Consider the following 21,993-nt stretch of genomic DNA (forward strand, 5'->3'; position numbering starts at 1 on the left):
AGTTTTTAAACTGAGCTTTTGATACATGCGTTGTTACTTACTGTGACTGGCCAAAGACTGTGTGCATGTTTACCTATGTTTTACATTTTATAGCCATGTATAACCTTCATTATTGAAAGTCCTTGCTTTAAATGGGCGTCATTATGGGATGTTTGTGGAATGGAGCTGTCAGAAGGCATGAAGTCATGCATTCCTTGAAGCATGCATTGGTATTTCTCATAAGGCCCATCCATGCAGAGTGCACACTCTGTTTAACCTTAACTGAGTCTATCTGAAAGTGTGAGTGAGTTTCATTTAAAGAAAAATATGTGGGTTTTACTTAGAAAATCTGCCCAAAATTTCCACCTTTGGATCTGTAAACTGAATTTGAGACTTGATCTTCATTTTATTCTACTTGCAGTTCTTCCTGAGTGTCTTCTGAGTTCTGTGAGGAAAATGAGCCAGCCTTTTATTTGTAAAATAACTTTAGCTTGAATGAATGTTCTTTTTGTTTGGTGTGAATTTGCTGATTTTTAAATGAATTCTTAAAGTTGCTCCCCTGAGCTCCTATCTTAGAAGAGGTTGATATCTTCCTGAAATGGCACGTAAAAATATGTATACTAAATCCTTATCACACTGGAGAAGATAACTTACAGTAAAGAGGGTTTGATTTGTTCTTAAGTGATTTCTACCTCCTTTAGAAGTCAGGAGGTGTTATTTGTGAGTACTTTTCTGTCTAAATAAACAAGCCTGTAGCTGGTATCAGCCAAGCTAACAGGGGGCCTCTGTCTTATGTGCTGATGTGTTCCCAGTACTTGGTCCACAGTAGGCTCTGTGCTGCAGGCTTTGCAACTCTTGATCGTTTAATCCACAGCAGCCCTGCAAAGTAGGCTTGGCAACTGAAGACGCTGCCAACGAGGATGGAGTGAGCTGGTTGCCCAGGGTCACCCAATTAGTAACTGGCAGAGCAAGGATATGAACCCACATATCCCTGACTCTAAAGTTCTTGCCCTTTTCAGGTAATCTTTTAAAAAGTGTTTTTATTTGATTTGGATTCTATTCAGGCTGATTACTCAACCCATACATATCAAGACTGTGCCCAGCAGTCCTGAGCCTCTGCTGGGAAGGTGACCATAAACAACCTGAGAGTGACTCGAAGCATGCATATTGTGTTGTGTATTGGTTGGTGGGTCCAGCCTTACCCTATTGAGCAGGTGTTTGCTGATGGTCTTTTGTAGAGCATCCTCACCTGGAAACTGTGTAAGTTGATTCTTTTTAGCCAAGCTATAAAGACAGCCCCAATTGGCACATTCTGTCACAGTTCACTCTTCAAACTGATGCAGGATTTTTCTTCTTGGTCACTCTGCAAACCAGGGATGCCCGGCCAGTGATACGCCCTGCTTGGGCCTCCCTCGGCCACGCTGGGTGTGCCGCAGCTTGCCTGTGTTAAGGTTGTACCTGCGTTTGGCAGTTCCTGAGCTCTTGAATTGCACCCAAGAAGAATGAGGATACGTGGAACATTGGAGGGTGAGAAGAGTGGAGAAGAATTTTATTGAGCAATGAAAACGGCTTTCAAGCAGAGAGAGGATTCAGGGAGAGGGGAATAATTCCCCCATGTGGCTGGTTCTGGGGCCCTTTATGGACTCAGAATGGGGAGTGCCTGCTGATTGGTTTGTGAGTATGCAAAAAAGTTTAAAGGGAAGGCACAACTCAAAGGTGGGCATGACAGTGTAGAAAAACCAATTTGGAAAGGGTAAGTATATATAAAAATAGGTGAAGGGTGGGGACCAGTTAGAGGAAAGCATCCCAAATGGGAAGACAAATTCTTAATCCAGTCCTAGGATTTAACCTGTAGCTTGGTTTTCAGGCTTTAAACTGTCTTCGACTTGGAGGTGGGGTTTCGTCGGAGACCCTCCCCTGTCTTTCTAGGCATTTGTCTGCCTCTATCAAAACCATCTTGGATGCTTTAAGACCCTCCAAGCAGGGAATTGCTACACTGGCTGACACACCCATAGCTGATTTTTAGCTTAGCAACTTCCAAAATGGAAAGATGAAATCGAAAACAATCTGGATTTCCCTTAAACATATTCTGGATCCCACCCTGAATATACCAAAAAACTGTCATCGATGACAAATGTTCAGCCTATGCAGACTTGTACACTAACAACCTGATTTTGCCCAGCACTTAGGGAAGATGGGCTTCTTACTGATTTATGCCCCAGCCCTCACCTTTATCCCTGCCCCTCCATCATGTATTATGACTTGCTAATAATGCCATTTCAGAGCAGGCAAGTTGCCTTGTGCTTTCACCCAGGTGCTGGAGTCAGCCTGCCTGGGATTGCACCCATCTTTGCCTCTTAAGTAACCATGTGATGTTGGACAACTGACTTGAGTCCTTTAAAAGCCTTGGCTTCCTCATCTGGAAAGTGAGGTTAATAATAGTATCTACTTTGTTAGAAAGATGGTCAGGATTGAATGAGATAATCCATGTAAATCCCGTAGCATGGTGCCTGGCATGTGGTTTCTACACAGTACACAGTAGCAGCTGTTGTTGATGTTGTTGTTCTTGAAGGTGAGATTTCTCATCAGCCAGTTGTTTGGATTATAAAAGATTAGTAAAATGTTTAATAAGTTATAAGAAAAGAGCCCTGAATAAAGGGTATGGGAAGGGTTGCAGCTTGTGAGTTACCATGAGATGGTGGAAGGAGGTTATCTGAAATTGAATGAAAAATTGTAGCATCAGATGTGTTTGGGTGTGGTTAATAATACACGTGGTGGTGAACTGAGGTAGATGGTAGAAGTTTGAGGGTGTACATTTTGAATCTTCCCACATGGCTCATTTCAGCCAGTTACAGTTTTCTGTGTTCACCTAGTATTTCTTACAGACAAAAATCATGAAAAAGTAAATGCAAAATTTCAACATGTTCGAATTGTTTCTTAGTATATCGGTGGCTTTGGAATGCATTTTCATTCTCAAAACAAGCTTTATAGCAGAACTGAAGATATTTAATTCAGGTTCTGTGGGGGTTTCTTAGTAGTTAGCCACTTGCATGATACCCGTTGAGAATGGGACAAATTGATACTATGCTCAGGAATGATAGTATGCCTTGCTTTATTTTGGCATGTGTAAAATTGAAACCAGAACACCAAATTTTTCTTCTTTAGAAGTATGTATTTGATAACCAAGTAAACTGTATTCATTATAGAAAAACAATACACAAATGTTTTAAAAAATAGAGCCATAATCCTGGGAATAACCACTTTTTAAAAAGCTTGACATATATCCTTCTAGATTATTTTCGAGTATGAATGTTAGCATTTGGAGTTACATTTTGTTTTGACTGCTTTTTAGATTTGTGCCCTAATTTTGACAGTTGCTCACTGTAAATTATTTTTAGTTGTTTTCAAAGCAATATTTATGATATAAAAAGATCTAATTATTTGCTTTGAACTCCTTTTTGGTGTGTACCTGGATGTTAATACTTATAACTTTAAAAAAATCTCAGCGTGAATTCAGAATTATAAGCTTAGTATTGGTTGCATTCTATTTTGGAAGACCTATAGAGAGCTGTCCACCCTCCTACACCACTACTAATATCCTGTCCTTGCCATGTGACGTACTGAAGCCACAAGGGGAAAGAGCCCCATGAAGCTCTGTCTCCCTCTCTTCTCCCCAGCACAACACACACATACACACTTAGGCATGTTTGTCTTTCTTTGTCTCTGCTCTTTTCTTGTGTCTGTACTTGTCTGTCAGTCGGCCTGTCTCTCCCTTACTGGAGCCATTCATCATGCCCTCCTCATTCAGGGACAGAGTGTGCTTTCTCTGGGCTGGTGCCAGATCCTGGAGAGAGGAGCGCTTTGAAAACTCAACTTGGACTCCTCAGCAGACCACATTGCAGTTGTGCTCAGCATCTGGCCACCACTTTGTCCACTTAATATAGGGTCCCTAACCCCACCTATAATTTGCCCACTTCTCTTCTGATCTGGGAGCAAACACTTTTTTAGAGCTAGATGCCCAGTTTAAAATCCTGTGAAAAATAAGAGCTCAGTGAAAGGATAAGGGGAGTCCAACTCAACTACAATAAATTTGGTTTTTCCTTCTTGCTTTCTTGTGGGGGGAAAGCCAGATGCTGTCCTTTTCACAGAGTAAGTTACCAGTCCGTGATAATTCAGTAGCATGACAAGAATTTGAGCTGGCACTTTTCAGCCAGAATCTCAGTTACTTACACACACTACACACACACAATCTGTTTCAAGTTTTAATGAATGAAAAATTCACATGATAGATTGTCATTCTTAGTTTTTAAATAGTTTTTATTGTTATTGAAGTAGAAAATAGACTTTTTTGGGATATTATCGATACATCAGCAGACTTTTAACTTAAGAAGCTTTGAACCTTGATTTTTCTAGTGGAATTCCATATTAAGAGTTAATAGGCAAGAAAAGAAGATTTTAACCAAAGAAAACGGGGAGGATGGACAGTGATGGGAATGGAAAATTGAAAGGACAAGCTTAAAGTTACAGTCAGTTCTGCTATAGCACAACATGCATTCCTAAAAAATTACTGCACAATGCAAAATTACGCAACAAAAACCACATGAGGCTTATTGGGAAAACAGGGTTATGGCACAACACTCAAAGACCTCATCAGTGACACACACAGAAAAACATAGGAACCTAATGAAAAGGGTAGCACAGTCTTACAAATGTTAAATGGTAAAAAAATACATAAATACTAGAATAAACATGGCAGTTACCTTGAAAAGACCTGGCATTTGCTTGTGGAAGGCGTGGGAAGGGTTGCAGCTTGACTGTGAAGTCATGGAAGGAGGTTATCTGAAATTGGATGAAAAACTGTAGCATCAGCTGTGTTTGGGTGTGGTTAATAACACCCATGGTGGTGAACTGAGGTAGATGGTGGAAGTTTGAGGGGTTGTGCATTTTGTGTTTTCCTACGTGGCTCATTTCAGCCAGGTATAGTTTTCTGTGTTCACCTGGTATTTCTTACAGACAAAAATCATGAAAAAGCGAATGCAAAATTTCAGTATGTTCAAATTGTTTCTTAGTATATCGGTGGCTTTGGAATGCATTTGCATTCTCAAAACAAGCTTCATAGCAGAACTGAGGGTATTTAATTCGATTGAGAATTTTATCTAATCATTTGATCTTCAAAGAAAATACATCACACATTTGCTCTGAGACACCTGCTTGAGAATTCTGATACCTAGAGTGTACTTCTTAAAAGTCAGAGTTCTAGTTGAGGGTTTTCTCTGTCTTCTTCATATCACAGACATGCTGTTCCTTTAGTGCACTGTTTCAGGGGGTACACAAGGTGATTTTTGTAGATAAACACGGATGAATATTTTAATGTTCAGTTTATATAATAAGCTTATTGAACTTACTGTTTCACAGATACTATTGTTTTGGAAAAAAATCTATCTCAGCTGAGGGTAGAGGTGCCCTGCTTCACTCTGGGGCCCATCTGGAAATGGATTAGGGGGTGGTTTCAGGTTGTCTTTGGCAGACGGGCACTACTGGTGAAGAAGCAGTAGGAGAGTAGGAATGCTAACCATCCTGAAATCCTGTATGAAGAATTGTCCTGTCTGAAATACCAATGATGTCCCCATGAGAGACTGGCTAGTATTAGAGTAAGGAGGAGGAGATGATAGAATTGATAAAGTAAATTAAAATGTTGAGTTTTAAAAAAATAGTATTTTATGTAGCTTTGGTAAGAACGATGAAAATAGTTTGCAGTTGATGAAAATTTGGAAAACACTAATTCAAGACAAGTAGTAGTGGTGAGCTTCATTTGACAAACCCTTTAGTGCCTTGTAGCAGGCAGTATTCTCAGTGCCATGCACATGATAACTTACTCAGCTGTGGTTAATGGTTCTTGAGGCATTAGCCTGGTCTACTGTAGTGTCTCAACCGTGGCTGCACAGTAGAATCAGACAGGGAAACTTGTCAAAAATCTGGATGCCTAGTCCACACCCCAAACGAATTAACTCAGTCTCTGAGGGAGGGACCTATGCATCAGTGTTTTTAAAGCTCCTTACGTTATTCCAGTGGGTAGCCAAGGTTGACAGCCACTGGTCTAGGGCCTTCCAAAATCACTCCTTTTCACAAGAAAAGCTTTACTAGTCATGCAGAAGTTAATTGAAGACCTCTGTCCCATGCCTTACAGAGAAAGACAATGGAGACATGGCCCACAGAAGCTGTATCGTCTAAGGCAGGTGACAAAACTGCAAACACATGTTTACAATCCTGGCTGACAAGTGCTGATGCTTAAAAGTATGTTCAGAGTGTTTGGGATCATAAAAGAGAGAAAAACTAAATTTAAAAACATCTTCAGATGCCAAATTTGGAAAACTGCCGAACTGAATTTATTTTAGTTTTTTATTCCTTATACACAGCTTTCATTTTGGGGTGAACAAAAAGCAAAAGGCACTTATAAATCACTATCAATTTAACCTTCCTAACTTGATTGTAGCCTTTGTGTAGTTGAGTTGGAGAATAGAAATTTGAATTTTGTCTGTAGATAGCTAGGATAATAATTTTGTCCTGATGTGGAACACACAGTTAAGTACTTTATAAGCCATCATTGAAGTAATGCCCTTCCAGGAATAAGTCACCACAGTTTTACCAAGAAGCTCAGGACTGCTATAAGAAGATCTTTGGAAATAAACCATTGAAGTCTTACTTGTGGTCATTGATCATCATGTGCTTAATGTTTTAAATACTTATATAGCTCCTGTATTGTGATAAGGCAGTGTTGGATCACATGCATTTTAAAACTTAGAGTTAAGCAAATGTGTAATTTTAAATTAATTAATTAAAGGCAGCCACTAAGGTACTCAAGCGGATAAAGTTACCAAATGATTTACTTGTTTCTGATGGTAACATTCTTCAACAGCTCTTGATTTATATTAGTATGGATTACCTTACTCTAAGAAAACCTGATTCTCCAGTGGATAGATTTATTTTCAGCTAAACCTTTGTAGTCTGTACTTAACCATGAATTACTTCCTGGTTTAAAAAACAGGCGTAGCTATTTGTGGTATTTTTGTCTTGCGCCTTTGGCATCTTAGCGGTGTGAACCGGAGCTATGCCATCTGTAGTCAAGTGAGATTATTAAAAAAGGGGGGGTGGGAAGTGAAATGATTCACTGGAAAATTTCAGCACAGATTCTTAGGGAACGATAAGATAACCCTAGAAACATTCTTATTTGGTGTCATCTGCTGGTGGGTAGTGACAGGGAAAAAAAAGAAGGTACAACTTGTTTCTTAAGATTTTGCTATTTTGAAAATCAGAGAGGTGCGGTGTTAGAAAGGAAGAAAGAATTGCTTGCAGTGTCATTTAGCAGAGCTCTGCAGATGAATGAATAATTTTCCTCTCTCTTAATGCAAGTTGGAGCCAATGAGGTTCATTTTTAGCACGCAAAACCCAAAAGGCAATATTCTCATGTTTACGATGGTTGTCTAATTTCCTGATGGGTGTATGTGATAAAACTCTTTATGCTGAGATACTTCAGAAAGAGAAGGACCCGTTCCTAGAATGCTAAGTAAGTCTGTGGGGCCTAGATGAGCCATTTCTGAAGTCTGCTGAGTTTAACATACCTTCACTTAACGACACGTGTTTTAACCTGAATATATTGATTTCAGGGAATTCTTCCAGAATTACATTTGAGATTCGCCTAAAACATGATGTCTTTTTTTCTTTGCTTTCGTTTTCAGAAAGAAGACATAGCTCATCCAGCAAGCCGCCTTTGGCCGTTCCTCCCACTTCAGTATTTTCCTTCTTCCCTTCTCTGTCCAAAAGCAAAGGAGGCAGTGCAAGTGGAAGCAACCGTTCTTCCAGTGGAGGTGTTCTTAGCGCATCCTCATCAAGTTCCAAGTTGTTGAAATCACCCAAAGAGAAACTGCAGCTCAGGGGGAACACCAGGCCAATGCATCCCATTCAGCAAAGTAGAGTTCCCCATGGTAGAATGTGAGTATGGCCAAGAGGGTTTTTAAAGCTTACCTGCTGGAAATGAAACTGTGTACACTAGTGGCATGTGAGAGTGCCTGTGAGTAATATAAAAGAGAGTCTACTTGGGGAAGAATTCAAATGTATGTTGTATTGTTTCTTGATGTTTCCCTGTCATGTCATAGGAAACTTTTCAGAGTAGTAATAGCAGTGATAATAAGGTTACTAACATTTATTGATCCATTCTTGTGTGCTAGCTACTGAAACCTAACTCTATGTGTGTACTATGTCACTTATCACAACAACCCTATGGAATAGGTACTGTTACTATCCTCGTTTTCCAGATGAGGAGAAGGAAGCTTCGTGAGGTGGGGGAGTTTTGTCCAAAAAGGCCTCAAGTCACATAGGCCTGGATTTGTGTCCCATTTCTGTCACTTCTTAGCTGTAGGGGTTTGGGCAAGGCACTGTTTCTGTCTAAGAATAACAGCCACTATGCTGGGTTATTGAGAATATTTTAGTTAATATATGTCTAGCACCTGGCATAGTGTCTGGCCATAGGGGACGGTTAACAAATGGATACTGGCACTCCTGCTACTGCTGCTGTGGATAATAGTAATGATAAAAAGATGCAGAGATTCCCAGATGCTGCTGTAGAATTTTTGGGGGTCTACGGAGCAAATAGGGAAGCAGTGCTTCCTCCCTTCAGCCTTAGGTTCACATCACAGCAGTGATGAGGGAAGACTGAAGGAAGTTCACACCTGCCAGGCATGGCTTTGGCAAGTTTCCATGGTCACTCAGTAGATTGACAGGTTTCTTGAGGTCACGTGAGGGAGCAGCCACGCACTCCAATAGGAACATGCTTCGCCTTGTCATGGCATCCCTCAGCCTGGTGACGGATGGCTTTTCTTGGGCCAGCCTGCTTTTGGAGGGTATAGCACACATCGTAGGTCCAAGATCCGGTAACCTGGTTAATCTCAGGGTAGGGTCCAGCACCTGCTGCTGCATAAGGACCTTGCCAGCTGGGAGAGGATGTGACATCTTGCAGTCTCTCTACTGCTGTCAGGCTATTCCAGGTACAGTTGTTTGGGGCTGTTTGTCCTGGTTGCTAAGCCCCCAGCCCCTGTTCTTCTGTCAGAAGTACAGTACAGCAAGCTTGGTTTTTGTTCCGGGAGCAGTCTGAAAGCCACAAACGGTGCCAGTGTAGTGTGTAAGTCACTGGCCAGCTTAACAGCTGTTAGAGCACTGACTCCACTGAACAAAGTTTATACAACCTCATTGATTCAAATCTTCTTTACTTAGAGCTAGGCCTTTAGATAGGAACCAGGCCAGTTGTTAGCTTCCTACCAGTATTTTCAGTTTTACCAAGCAAAATGATAGTGTCAGTAAGATTCCAAGATTCATATCTTTGTTAATGGCACAGGTATTCCCTAAGCTCCTGTCATAGAAACATTTTTCAAGGACTGGAGAATTACCACTTTAGTGACACAACATATATTTATTAAACACTAGTCTCCCTTATTGACAGAAGCAAAGAACCTCTTCTTGGAGATATGTTATTTAGCATGTTTGAGTTCTCATAAGTCTTTAGTGACATTTATTGGAAATATTTGCTCACTCAGAAGTTTACTTTGTTTTGATGAATCCTTTCGTACAAATGGCAGTCCTCAAAAGATATTCTCCAAGGGTTCTGCAAATAGTCTTTGTTTCTTTTAGACCTTCTCATGTTTTGCTTCTTATAGAAATTGCATTGCATTGGGTATCAGGTCTGAGTTTCCCATTGCCTCATGTGTAAAATTTTTTGAAATGATGAAAGACCAGGCAAATTTGATGGTCCACTGAGGGTTTTGCCTCACCAGAAGGGCTTATAGACTTAATCAGTATGAACCTTACTAACAAAACTCATAAGGAGCCTTCCAAGAGGCTGGCCCTGTGCAGCGCTTGGGTAGGCCCAGGCTCTATCCTCATCCCTCTGGCTCACCATTCACCTGGGGGCTGCTGAGGCACTCAGGCACTGGTTTTCTCACTTCCTCCTGTGACAGCATGACACCCTCTGTGAAAGTGGAAAAGATTCATCCGAAAATGGATGGCACACTACTGAAATCTGCGGTGGGGCCAACCTGTCCTGCTACTGTGAGTTCCTTAGTCAAGCCTGGCCTTAACTGCCCCTCAATACCAAAGCCAACCTTGCCTTCACCTGGACAGATTCTGAATGGCAAAGGGCTTCCTGCACCGCCCACTCTGGAAAAGAAACCTGAAGACAATTCCAATAATAGGAAATTTTTAAATAAGAGATTATCAGGTAACTTCAAATTTTCTTTCTTCATAATGCTTCTCTATATATTAAATGGGCATTCGTGGGGAGCAAATCAACTGCAATCTAGAATTCCTATTTTTAAAACTGGTCAACTTCAGCTTTAGGAGGAAGTTCCTTAGTTAATATGTTTGTTCTTTTCACTCTTGGGTTTTAAAGAGCATGAGTGTGTGTGTGTGTGTGTGTGTGTGTGTGTGTGTGTCATGTAAAAGTAGCTTTCTAGTGGTGTATTTCTGAAGGAAGTAATACAGACTTAAACAATATCTTTTCTACCATCTGATGGCAGTAGTCACCCCCTGTCTTAGTGATGTTGCTGCTTTGTTGCAGCACTCACACGTTGTATATTTTTTATTTTATTGATAATGTGGCTTTTATTCCAGCTATAATTTATCTAACTGTTGATTTCTTCTATTTTCTTGCTTAAAAAATACATGGAGGAGAGTTTGTCAGGCCACATGTAATGCCTGTGTTCTTTTGACAGAAAGAGAGTTTGATCCTGACATCCACTGTGGGGTTATTGATCTCGACACCAAGAAGCCCTGCACCCGGTCTTTGACATGCAAGGTAGGTGGACTCCTGAAAGTCAAGTCGACCATCCTGATAAACATGGGTGACTGGGATGTACCACACTACTCCCACAGTCTCTCTAACCCAGAGAAGATGCTCTGTGGATTGTTGTGAATTGTGTAGGTGAAGGAATAACTTGGTTCTGTTGAAGAAAGCCTCAGATTGACAAAATGTGAAGTGCGTTGTTATAAATTATAATCTTGACAGAGGTTTTGTTTCTAATGAGCAGTGTTGTATCCACAGGAATAGTGTTCTCTCCCAGTCTGTTATTTTTAAAAACTTTTAATATTTCCATATAGGCTACCCTTGACTGTGCTTTAAATTATACTGGCTTAAAGCAAGTGCAGAAATTTCCCTTGCGTGTGTATGAACATTTAAAAAATGTGTCACCCATGGTCTTAAATTTTAAAGAACCACTTTTTAAAAAATCTGTGATTTTGAAATATCCCTGTTTTCTAGTTTAAAAAAAAAATACTGCAAGCCAGGCATGCCTGTAAGTCCCAGCTAGTGGGGAGGCTGAGGCAGAAGGATTGCTTGAGCCTAGGAGTTTGAGTCCAGCCTGGAGAACATTACGAGACCCATCTCTTTTAAGAGAAAAAAAAAACTAGATAAAATATATTAATAATTTATATACAAGCTAAGAAAATGTAATGGTCTTCCTTTTTGCTCTGGGGTCTTCCTTCTTTTAAAATGCCAGTATGCTAATAAGGTATATTTGCTGAAAAGTGTGGGTTATTGATGTGGGGTGGCTTCAGGTCATCAGTGAACACCTCTACATAAATGAGCTTGTATGTTGATGTGCATTTCTCTGGAGGGTGTCCCCAGCTACCCCCCAGATAGGTTCAAGAAGCATTCAGAGTCACTGCTTTGAAGTATGTAATTTTAAAACCTTAGAGGGAGGAAGTAAAAATGATAAAAGTTAGCATTTTCTTCTAAAAATTAATAAAATTGTTAGTGTTTTACTTTAAATTTTATTAAAGTGTATTTGAATAAAGGACTTCAGGCCCTGTCCCATGCCCCAGCCAGTGGAGGCATGTTACAGTCTTCTGGAGTGGGAAATTTTTAAGTGGTTCTTACTTTAAGCTTCTAATTTAATTTTAGTATATAGATTTTGTCTTACAACAGTGGTTCAGAACCTTTTTGGGGAAAAGGGTTGGTCAAGAGTACCTTTAAATATCTCATTTTTAAAAAAAAAAAACCACGGTCCATCTTCCGAGAATAAAATAGTGCATACACATACACATTCTGAATTTTTCTATCTTGGATTAATGGACACCCCCACCCCAAGCCCATCCTTGGATTTCTAGGTTAAAAACTCTCATAAAACAAACTGCTTTTTTTTTGTATAGGGTACTAATTGGACACACAGTGGTGTAGTGGTGGTGGTGTATGAAGATAGCCACCTGAGTTCTGTAGAATTATGTCAGTTTCAGCTGTCCCTAAGAGAATGTGTGAAAGCATGCCTCAGCCCTGTCCACATCATGATCACAACTTGCCATTCTCCTTCTGCGCTCTTCCTGCCTACCTGACTCTCAGTAACATGGATTTCTCAGTAATACAGTACCTGTGGGCAATGAGGTTTGCTTTTTTCAAACCCAAGATGTTCTTTTTCAGTCATTTACAAAGCGTGGCAGGGAACCACACCTTTAAGTGTGCAAGACAGTATTGTTGACTGTGAAAGAATATTATACAGCAGATGTCTAGAACTTGTTCATCTTGCTATAACTGAAACTTTATGCTCATTGATTAGTAACTCCTTATTTCGCTCTCCCTTCAGCCGCTGGCAGCCACCACTCTAGTTGTTGATTCTGTGAGTTTGATTATAGATCTCATATAAGTGGAATCATGCGGTGTTTAGTCATTATGTGACTGGGTTATTTATCTTAGTATAATGTCTTCAAGCTTACCTCATACTTGTTGTAGCATATTGCAGAATTTCCTTCTTTTTAAGGGCTGAATAGTATTCCAGTGTATGTATATACTATGTTGTCTTCATCCAGTCACCTGTTGACAGACATTTATATTGTTTCTACATCTTGTCTATTATAAATAATACTTCAGTGAACATAGGAGTTCTAATAGCTCTTTGAGATTCTGATTTCAGTTATTTTGGATAACTACCCAGAAGTGAGGTTGCCAAAAGTTTTTTTTCAACTCAAAATCTTCAAGGAGCTTGACTGGCATTCTTCCTGTGCCTTTATTGCTAGGTGGAGTGACTTTGAATGGGTCTGCATTTTTCTCACATCTTCCTTTTCAAATGATATATGCTCCCCTTGTCGTCCTTCTTTAAGGGTGTCATTACTCTCCGTGGCATTGGGCTAAGCCTGTCATTGCATTAATAAGTCTTGAGACCCAGCTTGTCATGAGATCAGCATAGAACTGGCAGAAAATGCAGCATCCACCAGGCCTGCCCTTTTACAGGATGACTTGACTTTTTTTCATTGTTTTGTCAGTTCTTTTCCTTTTCCTTGCCTTCACGTTGGTCTGAATCTATTAAGCTTGGTAGGGCTAAACATGCCTGCATGTCCCTACCCTGAGTGTTTCCCAAGTTGCTGCCAGGTCTCTTCTGTCTTAGACTTAGAACGTTATCTGTTCTCTTCACCGTCAGGGGATTTGCTGCTGTTCATTCCCATTACTCATTCTCTGTTGTCTGTCTCCCATCCTCACTGCCCCTCCTCACTTCTTCATCTGTCTAATATCCCGTCGAAAGTCCTCTGTGCCTTCCACGCGGAGAGATTTGTGACTCCTGTAGCCTTTGTCCATTCACTCATTGTAGAACTTTTTATTACGTACATCTGTGAGCACAGGCCTCACTCTTTCTAGGTCGCAGGGAATAAAGGGTTTAGCACAATAACCACGTGTTCCCTATGCTTGTGGTGCTTACAGTCTAATGAAAGAGATGGAGAGTATTAATCACCAAAATAACTGTAAAATTACCACTGATGAGTTATAAAAAGATGAGAGGACTACATTATGAAAGCCTGCAAAAATGAAGTTTTTCCAGGGAAGGCTTTCTTGCCATAGGAACATTGGGCTGAAATCAATGTGATGATTTATCTGGGCTTGAGAGGGATGGGAGAGGTAGGAGAGGTGGAGGAAACAATATGTGTGAAGGCTCTGTGACAGGGGCAGAGCAAATTCCTTAGAACCTTAAAGCCAGCCAGGTGGCTGAACAGAAAGAGGGAAGAAGAGGTACGCGGGACCAAAGGAGCAGGGAGCAGTAAGCAAGGGTCTTAGAGTGTGCAGGGTTCCGGAGCCTAGTTATGCAGTCAGTCTTTATCCTGTGAGCCTTGGGCAACCCCTATCGGATTTCTGTTTGGAATGTTCTTCACAGCTCAGTGGAAACCCTACTTAGGCTTCAAACTGAGCTGGGAAAATGTATCTGCCTGCTTTCTTCATTTGGCTGTACTGTGCTAGGCACCGGGAACATTCAAGCTGAGGAGAGGTTTATACATCTGCTTGGAGAGACAGGCAGGTGGACCAGTAATATTATATGTTCATTCGTTCTTTCAACACACGTTGGAGGGCCATTATTTTTATAAACTTTTTGTTTGAAGCATTTGAGCGTCAGGTACTCTTCTAGATGCTGGTACAACACAAACAAAACAAAGTTCCTGGTCTTTAGGTTACTTTCTTAGGGATATTTTCCATATTAAAGAAAATCAAGTAAAAATGTAAAAAGCTAAACACATTTGTCTGTGCCAGGTTAGATTATTTAGGTAGACATAGTTTGCAGTGTGTCTCGTAAGGAGGTGGGTTGTGTTATTCAACCGAAAATGGTAGTTAGAAGCATAATTCCCTTTTTAAGTCCCTAAAGTTGTACCAACTATGCCAATACATTTGTATTATGTGTAGGGGCATGCACACACACATTTACAATATTTTGTAATATAAAAGAAGGAAACGTGGGTGAATTCATTTATGTTTATGGATATGTGATTAGGGGCCACTGTAGCTCATGTAAACTCATCCACTCCTCAGGATTAGCATCTCCTTGCATTTTTACAGACTGAGATCTCAGCAGTATGGAATGGTCAGGTTTAACTTGAGTGATTGGACTCAACTGCCAATAAGATTTGCCCAACTCTGACCAGTTCACACTTGTACATTCAACTTTATCTTCTGTTAGCAATAGTATTAGGCTTATTTGTTTTGTTTTGTTTTAATGCCAGTAACTATGAAATGCGTTTGGACTACAGACACATTTTCTTATACGATTTGCTTCAACCACAGGTGTGTGTATTGGTTGCCTTAAGACAAACACTGCCATAATTTGACTTTTCTTTTTCCTCTGTGTATCCATTTCTTAATTCTGAAATTAGACATTGTCTGAAGACCCAGGGGTGTTGTCCATCCCATTTCCTTAATTTCCATAGCCAGTGTCTATCTATAGGGATTACTTTGTCTCCCTTCCTGTTCATAGCATTTCTTCTCAGCCTCATCTTCTGTCCAGTGCTCCTTGGCTGTGGCAGTCTGTCTGCAGAATGCTTTGGGCCACTTTCTATTTTTGCATGGCATTTTCATTGGAATAGAGGGACGCAATTGTGTTTAATTTTTATTCTGTGGAAGTTACTAAAAGAACACTTTCTGATACATGTTTTATGGAATGATTGTTTCTTCCCTTTACATTAACATTCAAAATTTTAAATGGTCCAAAGAGGGTTTTTCTAATGGAGTCAATAAGAGCCCCCAAAACCAAATTGCTGTTGTGTCACAAAACATGAGTACTTGTTATATAGCGCTAATGGTTGCTCTTAGTTACATACCAGGTGTCACCGCTCACATATCTTTTTTCTTCTGATGGAAATAACATTTCCAGATTCTTCTGCATTTAGAGCCTAGAACGTATGCTTCTAGTCTAGCTAGGGAGAAAATAATGGGCTCTTAAGGTTTTTAGCTTATCAAATGCTGAGTAGCCTTTCACTATGCTTATGGTCTAGATTGCTTATTTATTGGGAGTGGTGTTTTGGGATATAAGGCAGACCAAAAATTATTAATGAGATTCCTCAGTTTCTGTATTTTTTTGGTCCACAGACACATTCCTTAACCCAGCGCAGGGCTGTCCAGGGTAGAAGAAAACGATTTGATGTGTTATTAGCCGAGCACAAAAACAAAACCAGGGAAAAGGAATTGATTCGCCATCCGGACTCTCAGCAACCACCGCAGCCTCTCAGGGACCCGCATCCCGCCCCTCCTAGAACGTCACAGGAGCCGCACCAAAACCCTCACGGAGTGATTCCTTCCGAATCAAAGCCTTTTGTAGCTAGTAAACCTAAACCTCACACCCCCAGTCTTCCAAGGTAAGCCAGGCCCTCCAACTCTTTCTCCCACCTTCAGAGATGAGACTTGCAGATACTGTAAAATTTCAGTATGGTCATGCTGTTGAGAAACATATCTCAGGCTCACTGTGGAGATAGTTTTTTAAGGAGTTTTACTATGAAAAAAAAAAAGGAAAGGTTGAGTTCAGTAAGTTTCAACCAGGGCTCCTCTTGGTTGTAAATGCAAGCAGCAAAATAAAGCTAGAGTTATCTGCTCTATACTTGCTGAACATCAAGTGTCTCAACTCTGTTGAGCAGGCAGAAATTGGGTCCTTCCTGCGGGTTAGTGACAGGAACTCTTCACATGGCTTTGGCAGCAGTTTCCCTTTCATTTGTCTTTATATAGCAGTGGGAATTCTTGCTAGGGACAAGCCGTTTAGCCTGAGTTTTTACAGCATCCGTTTATCAATGTGTTTTCATTCATTCATTTGGGGCTTTGGCCCAAGCATGTATTAGCACTTTAGTAGCAGAGTAAACAGTGGATCAGAGTGTTTTAATGAGAACTTATACACATACCTCAGAGACAGTGATGGTGGAATATGTGTGTGTTTGTGCTTACATACTGAACCAAGTTGAAGTAAAGACTGTACCTAGTTTCCAGAGGGAAGGGAAAGAGAAAGGCATAGAGAAAGAGGGGCTTCAGTGTTGGCCGTTCATTTATTGGGAGCAAGAGCTTCTGCTGAGGAATGTGCCAGTCCTCGGCTGCTATTGCTTACCATTTCACCCTCACATGTCTGATCTTTAAAATGGTTGCATAAAGGTGGAAGCATCTCCCTCGTGGAAACCCAGGTGCCTGTTAGAGCCTGTCCCAACGTGAGCTTTGTGGTTTCTGTGCAGTATGCTGGAGGAGCCATCAGAGGAGGCTCCTCAGAGTGTGGTCAGGACCTGGCCAGAGATTTCCTCCCCAAGTCCTTTCTTTGGTCATCTTCTCATTGAAGTTTTTGCATCTAGAAAAATGTAAGCTTAATTCCAGAGACCATTGTAGGTGTAGGAAAAATACATTACTGCCCTTGAGTAAGAGGCTGTAGGCTATCCACATAAAGTGGTAATACCACCTTATTCTTGTATCACCTCCTGTCTCTCCTAGGTTATCTTAGAGCATTTTGCAAATTACAGTCAGCCCTCTGTATCCATGGGTTTCACATCCGTGGTTTACACCAATTGCAGATTGAAACTATTTGGGGAAAGAAAAATTGTGTCGTACTGAACATGTATAGGCTTTTTTTTTTTCTTGTCTCAGTATTCCCTAAACAATACATTACATAGCATTTACATTGTATTAGGTACTAAAATAATCTAGAGATTATTTAAAGTATACGGGAGGATGCGCATAGGTTATATGCAAATACTACACCATTTTATATCAGGCCACTTTGTACATTTGTGGATTTGCAGATTTTGCTATCCCCAGGAGGTCCTGGCCTCAATTCCCCATGGATACCGAGGGACAACTATGTTTCATTTATTGTGTAGGTAAACCAAATCCAGTTGAAATTTGAAGAGGAATCAAAGAATTCTGTTAAATTCCACATGTATTTCCCCTTCTTTGGGGGAGAATAGAAGAGGGATCTGAACCACCCAAATGGCAATAGAAAGGATTCGTTCTAAGTTACCTTGATTGTATCTGGCAAACAGCTGAACTTAACATCCTGCAGTTCAGGAGAGAGGTTCCTTTACTCCCAAGCCACCTGGATCAGCATCTGTTTTCCCCCAGTGCTAGAGGTGGAACCCAGGCCTCTGCTAGGTTGTTTTGGACACACTGTTGTATCTCAGTTAAGGTGGCTGATTCCCAGGTGTGTGATCTGATCCGTGCTGCACTTTCTACTCACCAAGGCCTCCAGGCTGCCCTGCTCAGCAAGGTGGGAGTGCCCCCATTGACCCTCCTCCAGTCCATGAATCTCCACACCCTCCCCTGCCTGCCACTGAGCCAGCTTCTCGGTTATCCAGTGAGGAGGGCGAAGGCGATGACAAAGAAGAGTCTGTTGAAAAACTGGACTGTCATTATTCAGGTCATCATCCTCAGCCAGCATCTGTAAGTTCCACGTCCACCCCCGCGTTGACCCTCCCCACACAGCATGGACAGGGCACTGCAGGGGGGCGCGCCAGGGATCTTGGCATGCCCGTATGTGTGGGACGCGGTCAAGGTGTGAGAGAAGTTCAAAACAGGGTGCCCCAGAGGCAGCACACACTCTGTACGGGGGACATCTCGTGCTTTTTTCCCTTTCTCTTCCATGACGCTCAGGGCTAGGCATTGTCACTCTCATGCTTCACAGCCTCCGGTACTCAGAGGCAGTTCTGTCTTTCCTGATTAGCTCCTTTCCTGAAGGATCTAGAACCCTGACTGGGCATGCCAGTGTGGGAGTCAGCAAGCACGCGGCTATGTTTTCTCTTGCAGTTTTGCACATTTGGGAGCCGGCAGATAGGAAGAGGCTATTACGTGTTTGACTCCAGGTGGAATCGACTTCGCTGCGCCCTCAACCTCATGGTGGAGAAGCATCTGAATGCACAGCTATGGAAGTGAGTGCCTGTTGTTCTTGGGAGAGGAGCTGACTTTACACAGTGCTGCATTGTCTTTTATTTCCTGTGAGACTGATGTTATGAAGATATGCTTATCTAAACAAAACTGGCCTTTGGCCCTGAGAAGAAGGTGCCTTGTCATTCATTCATTCATTTACCCCTTTACCCCACAACTACATATTGTTGTGGGTGCTGGCATTCAAAGCAGAAGGACTCCCACATGTATGGAGCTCACAGTCTAGTTGGGATTGGGTAAGGGGAGAAAAAAACTAGTCTACAGAAGAATAAGGAGATGATAGCTTGTCCTAAGTGACAGAATGGAAACAATAACAATCAGCAAGACTTAGTGAGAGCCAACTATACACCAAACAACTTAAATATACTTAACATTCACAATTCTCTGTCAGGTGACCATGATTATACCCTCCCCCCACCCCTGGTTTTTTTTTTGTTTTGTTTTTTTAATAGATGACAAAACTGAGATACAGTGTCATGCAGCAAGTTAGTGGTAGGGCCAGGAATTGAACCTAGAGGTAACATGTTTTCAAGTAAAGAGCTGAAAATACAGAGGCCAGAGGGATTCAGGGAAAGCCTCTCTGAAGAAAGAGGCAGTCCTTGAACTGAGAAGGATGGATGAGAAACAGCAGTCACTGGGACAGTAGGGAGGAGTGGGTTCTGGGCAGAAGGAAGCAGCTGTGTCAAGGTCTTGAGTCAGAAAAGACAGTTTGTTGAAGAAATAGCAAGAAATTGAGCACAGTACAAGGATGAGGTCCAAGAAACCAGCAGGGGCCAGGTGACACTGAAATTGTTTCAGTGTTGAAGGTTTTAGGTAGAGGAGCCATGTGCTCCAGTTTGCAATTTAAGACACCTTGTGTGATATTATGTACCTAATGCTTCCCAAACAGGATTTTAAGTGGAAGAAGAGTTCCATGGCCAAAAAGGTTTAACTCAGCCTTTCCTGTAAAAAAAAAAAAAGGTTCTGTTTTTTACTGCAGAACTTGTCAGAGCCTTAATGGGCACTGTGCTTTGTAACTCTTGAAGCAGGGAATGTCACGTCATGTATAATGTGGAACATGTCCCAAGCTCTTTTCACCTCGGAACCTTTTTTAGGGGAACATCTTGGAGAACTAGTATTCGGTGGGAGTGACTTTGGTGAATAGTAAGCTTTGCTAAAGTGACTGTCCAGTAATCCCCAGGCCATCCCAGATCCTCTGTTTGGGCATTATTTACTAGTGCCTCCTTAAATGGACTCTGCCAGTACATTCATTTGACTCCCTGCCTTGGTTTCCTAATAAAGTCAGACGCTAGTCGGAGGCCTTGGATTGTCTGCAACCCAAAGAACCATCTCCATGATCATTAGCAGGACTTACATCCGTTTCCTTAGAACACCAGATTCAGAGCACTGTTACTCTGCTTTTCTTTTTCATATTTCTTTCTGGTTCTTGCTGGATAAGAGGTTCTTCTTTATGAAGGAACATTGTCCCTGGCTAGACACAGAATCAGGGGACTGGGTTTGGGGGTTCTGCAGGGGTTTTTCCACACCAGAACTCCCTAAGATACATGAAATCTCAACTTCATATTTCTTCAGACTACCCATTGGGAGTTGGAAAGCACACTGAGCTCATGAAACTATGGGTTTAATGTACTCCTAAGAGTTTAGAATGGATTTCTGAATGTTTTATCCACATTATGTTGGTATGTGGCTCATGACCAACAGTTTGGGCAAAGATAGTTTCAGTTCCTAGTGGCTTGTATAGTGAGACTTTCCTCTTGATGTGAACTTTTTAAAAAGTAAGATCATAAGGTCGACTCTGCTGTCTACTCTGTTCTGTCTGAAGGCTGCCTACTTGCTTCCGGGGAGAAGGAAACCAACCCTTTCCATTAGCATGACCATTGGTTTTTAAAAAGTCTACAGCAACAAGGGACGTGTTGCTCAGTAATGAGCTGACACATAGGCTTGGGGCAGAGGGGAACTTGGTGCATGTTGCCTCCCAACATAGGAGTGCTGGCGGCCTTTTCAGGCAGCCCCTGAGATTTTCTCTGGGGAGCTCAGCACTTCTCATCCAGAGAACTATTCTCACCTGGCATCTTTGAAGCCCTCAAGGAAACTTTCAAAGTGATCCAGGTCCCACCCTACCGGCTCAGCCCAAAATCCTTCCTTACAGGGTTATTGTGGTAAAATTGAAGGTAAGTGAGGTGGGAATTGAGTATGAAATGAGTAAACTTCAGTTTGTGGAGTCTCAGGCCAGTGGTGAAATTAGACCAGCACTTTCTCTGCAGCATGGCCATAACCTGAAAGGCCACTGCCCACCTTCTATGATTTCTGTGAACTACTTGTCCTCTGTTGATTTGGGACCAGTATCCCATATTCCCTAAGAAGGGGCTGGGATGGTTTTCAAAGATTTTTGTTGGTGTATTTTTTTTTTTTTTTTTTTTTTACTTTTTGAAATGGTAATACAATCACTGGGCTTAAAAAAGGAAAACCAAGGCTGAGGCAGGAGAATGGGGTGAACCCGGGAGGCAGAGCTTGCAGTGAGCCGAGATCGCGCCACTGCACTCCAGCCTGGGGGTGACAGAGCGAGACTCCGTCTCAAAAAAAAAAAAAGAAAAACGAGTATAAAGAGGCATACATTGAAAACCGAGTCCTCCTGTCTCCTACATGCTTGTTTTCCACCTAGCCCCCACAGACATTTTTATTATTTTTTATGTATCTCTACATAGTTTATTTATGCAAACACAAGTCAGTATGAGTACATATTGTTACTTTGCCTCTTTATACACAAAAGAGTAATTAACTACTTAAAAGAGCTTTTCTAAGAGGAACTTGTGATTGCCTCCCGGAGAGATCCACATCCTTCCCTGCTCTAGAAGGCTTTTCCTTTCCTCGAGATTTGGTTCCAGGCAGCCTGGTCTTTAGGCCCTGGCTTCCTGAGCCACCTGGTGGTCATGAGAAGCCACTGCTCCCAGTGAGCAGTAGGGCCTGGACTTCATTTAGAGCAGGGCTTCTGAATGCTCCAGAATCACCCAGGGGCCTTGTTGCCATGCAGCTTCTGATGCATCATTCTAGGGTGGGGCCCAGGAACTCAGTTTTCCTAACCAACCTCTCAGGTAATTAATGACACTGCCTGCCACCCTCCTCTATGAGTAGTGCGGGGAGAGAGAGCCTAGCCTCTCAATCTTGGCTCCACATTAGAATCCCCTGGAAAGATTTAGAAATGACTGATGTCTGTCCCCACTCCCCGCAGAGACGCTGGTGTAATCGTTATGGATGTGGCTTAAGCTCCACAGGTGACTGTAATGTGCAACAGCTGGAGTTGAGAAGCACTAACATCA

General features: G+C 41.7%; 1 protein-coding gene across 5 annotated transcripts in view, besides 1 other annotated feature; it reads left to right on the forward strand.

Annotated features, from left to right (window-relative positions):
- Positions 1-21,993, forward strand: part of ATXN7 (ataxin 7) — a 140,319-nt gene that overhangs the window by 109,056 nt on the left and 9,270 nt on the right. For all 5 annotated transcript variants that reach the window (NM_001377405.1, NM_000333.4, NM_001177387.1 and 2 more), the window contains 6 exons: positions 7,716-7,968; positions 9,987-10,246; positions 10,740-10,822; positions 15,860-16,125; positions 17,977-18,175; positions 18,539-18,660. In NM_001377405.1, the coding sequence (NP_001364334.1) occupies positions 7,716-7,968; positions 9,987-10,246; positions 10,740-10,822; positions 15,860-16,125; positions 17,977-18,175; positions 18,539-18,660 (1,183 nt within the window). The remainder of the gene's footprint in view (positions 1-7,715; positions 7,969-9,986; positions 10,247-10,739; positions 10,823-15,859; positions 16,126-17,976; positions 18,176-18,538; positions 18,661-21,993) is intronic.
- Positions 911-1,411: an enhancer, noted in NCBI's record as "H3K4me1 hESC enhancer chr3:63958786-63959286 (GRCh37/hg19 assembly coordinates)". NCBI's record gives its function as "activates a minimal SCP1, AML or CMV promoter by ChIP-STARR-seq in naive H9 embryonic stem cells {active_cell/tissue: H9 hESC(naive)}" and the evidence as "EXISTENCE:reporter gene assay evidence [ECO:0000049][PMID:30033119]".

This window comes from Homo sapiens, chromosome 3 (assembly GCF_000001405.40).
Source record: "Homo sapiens chromosome 3, GRCh38.p14 Primary Assembly".
In the NCBI taxonomy this organism is placed as follows: domain Eukaryota; kingdom Metazoa; phylum Chordata; class Mammalia; order Primates; family Hominidae; genus Homo; species Homo sapiens.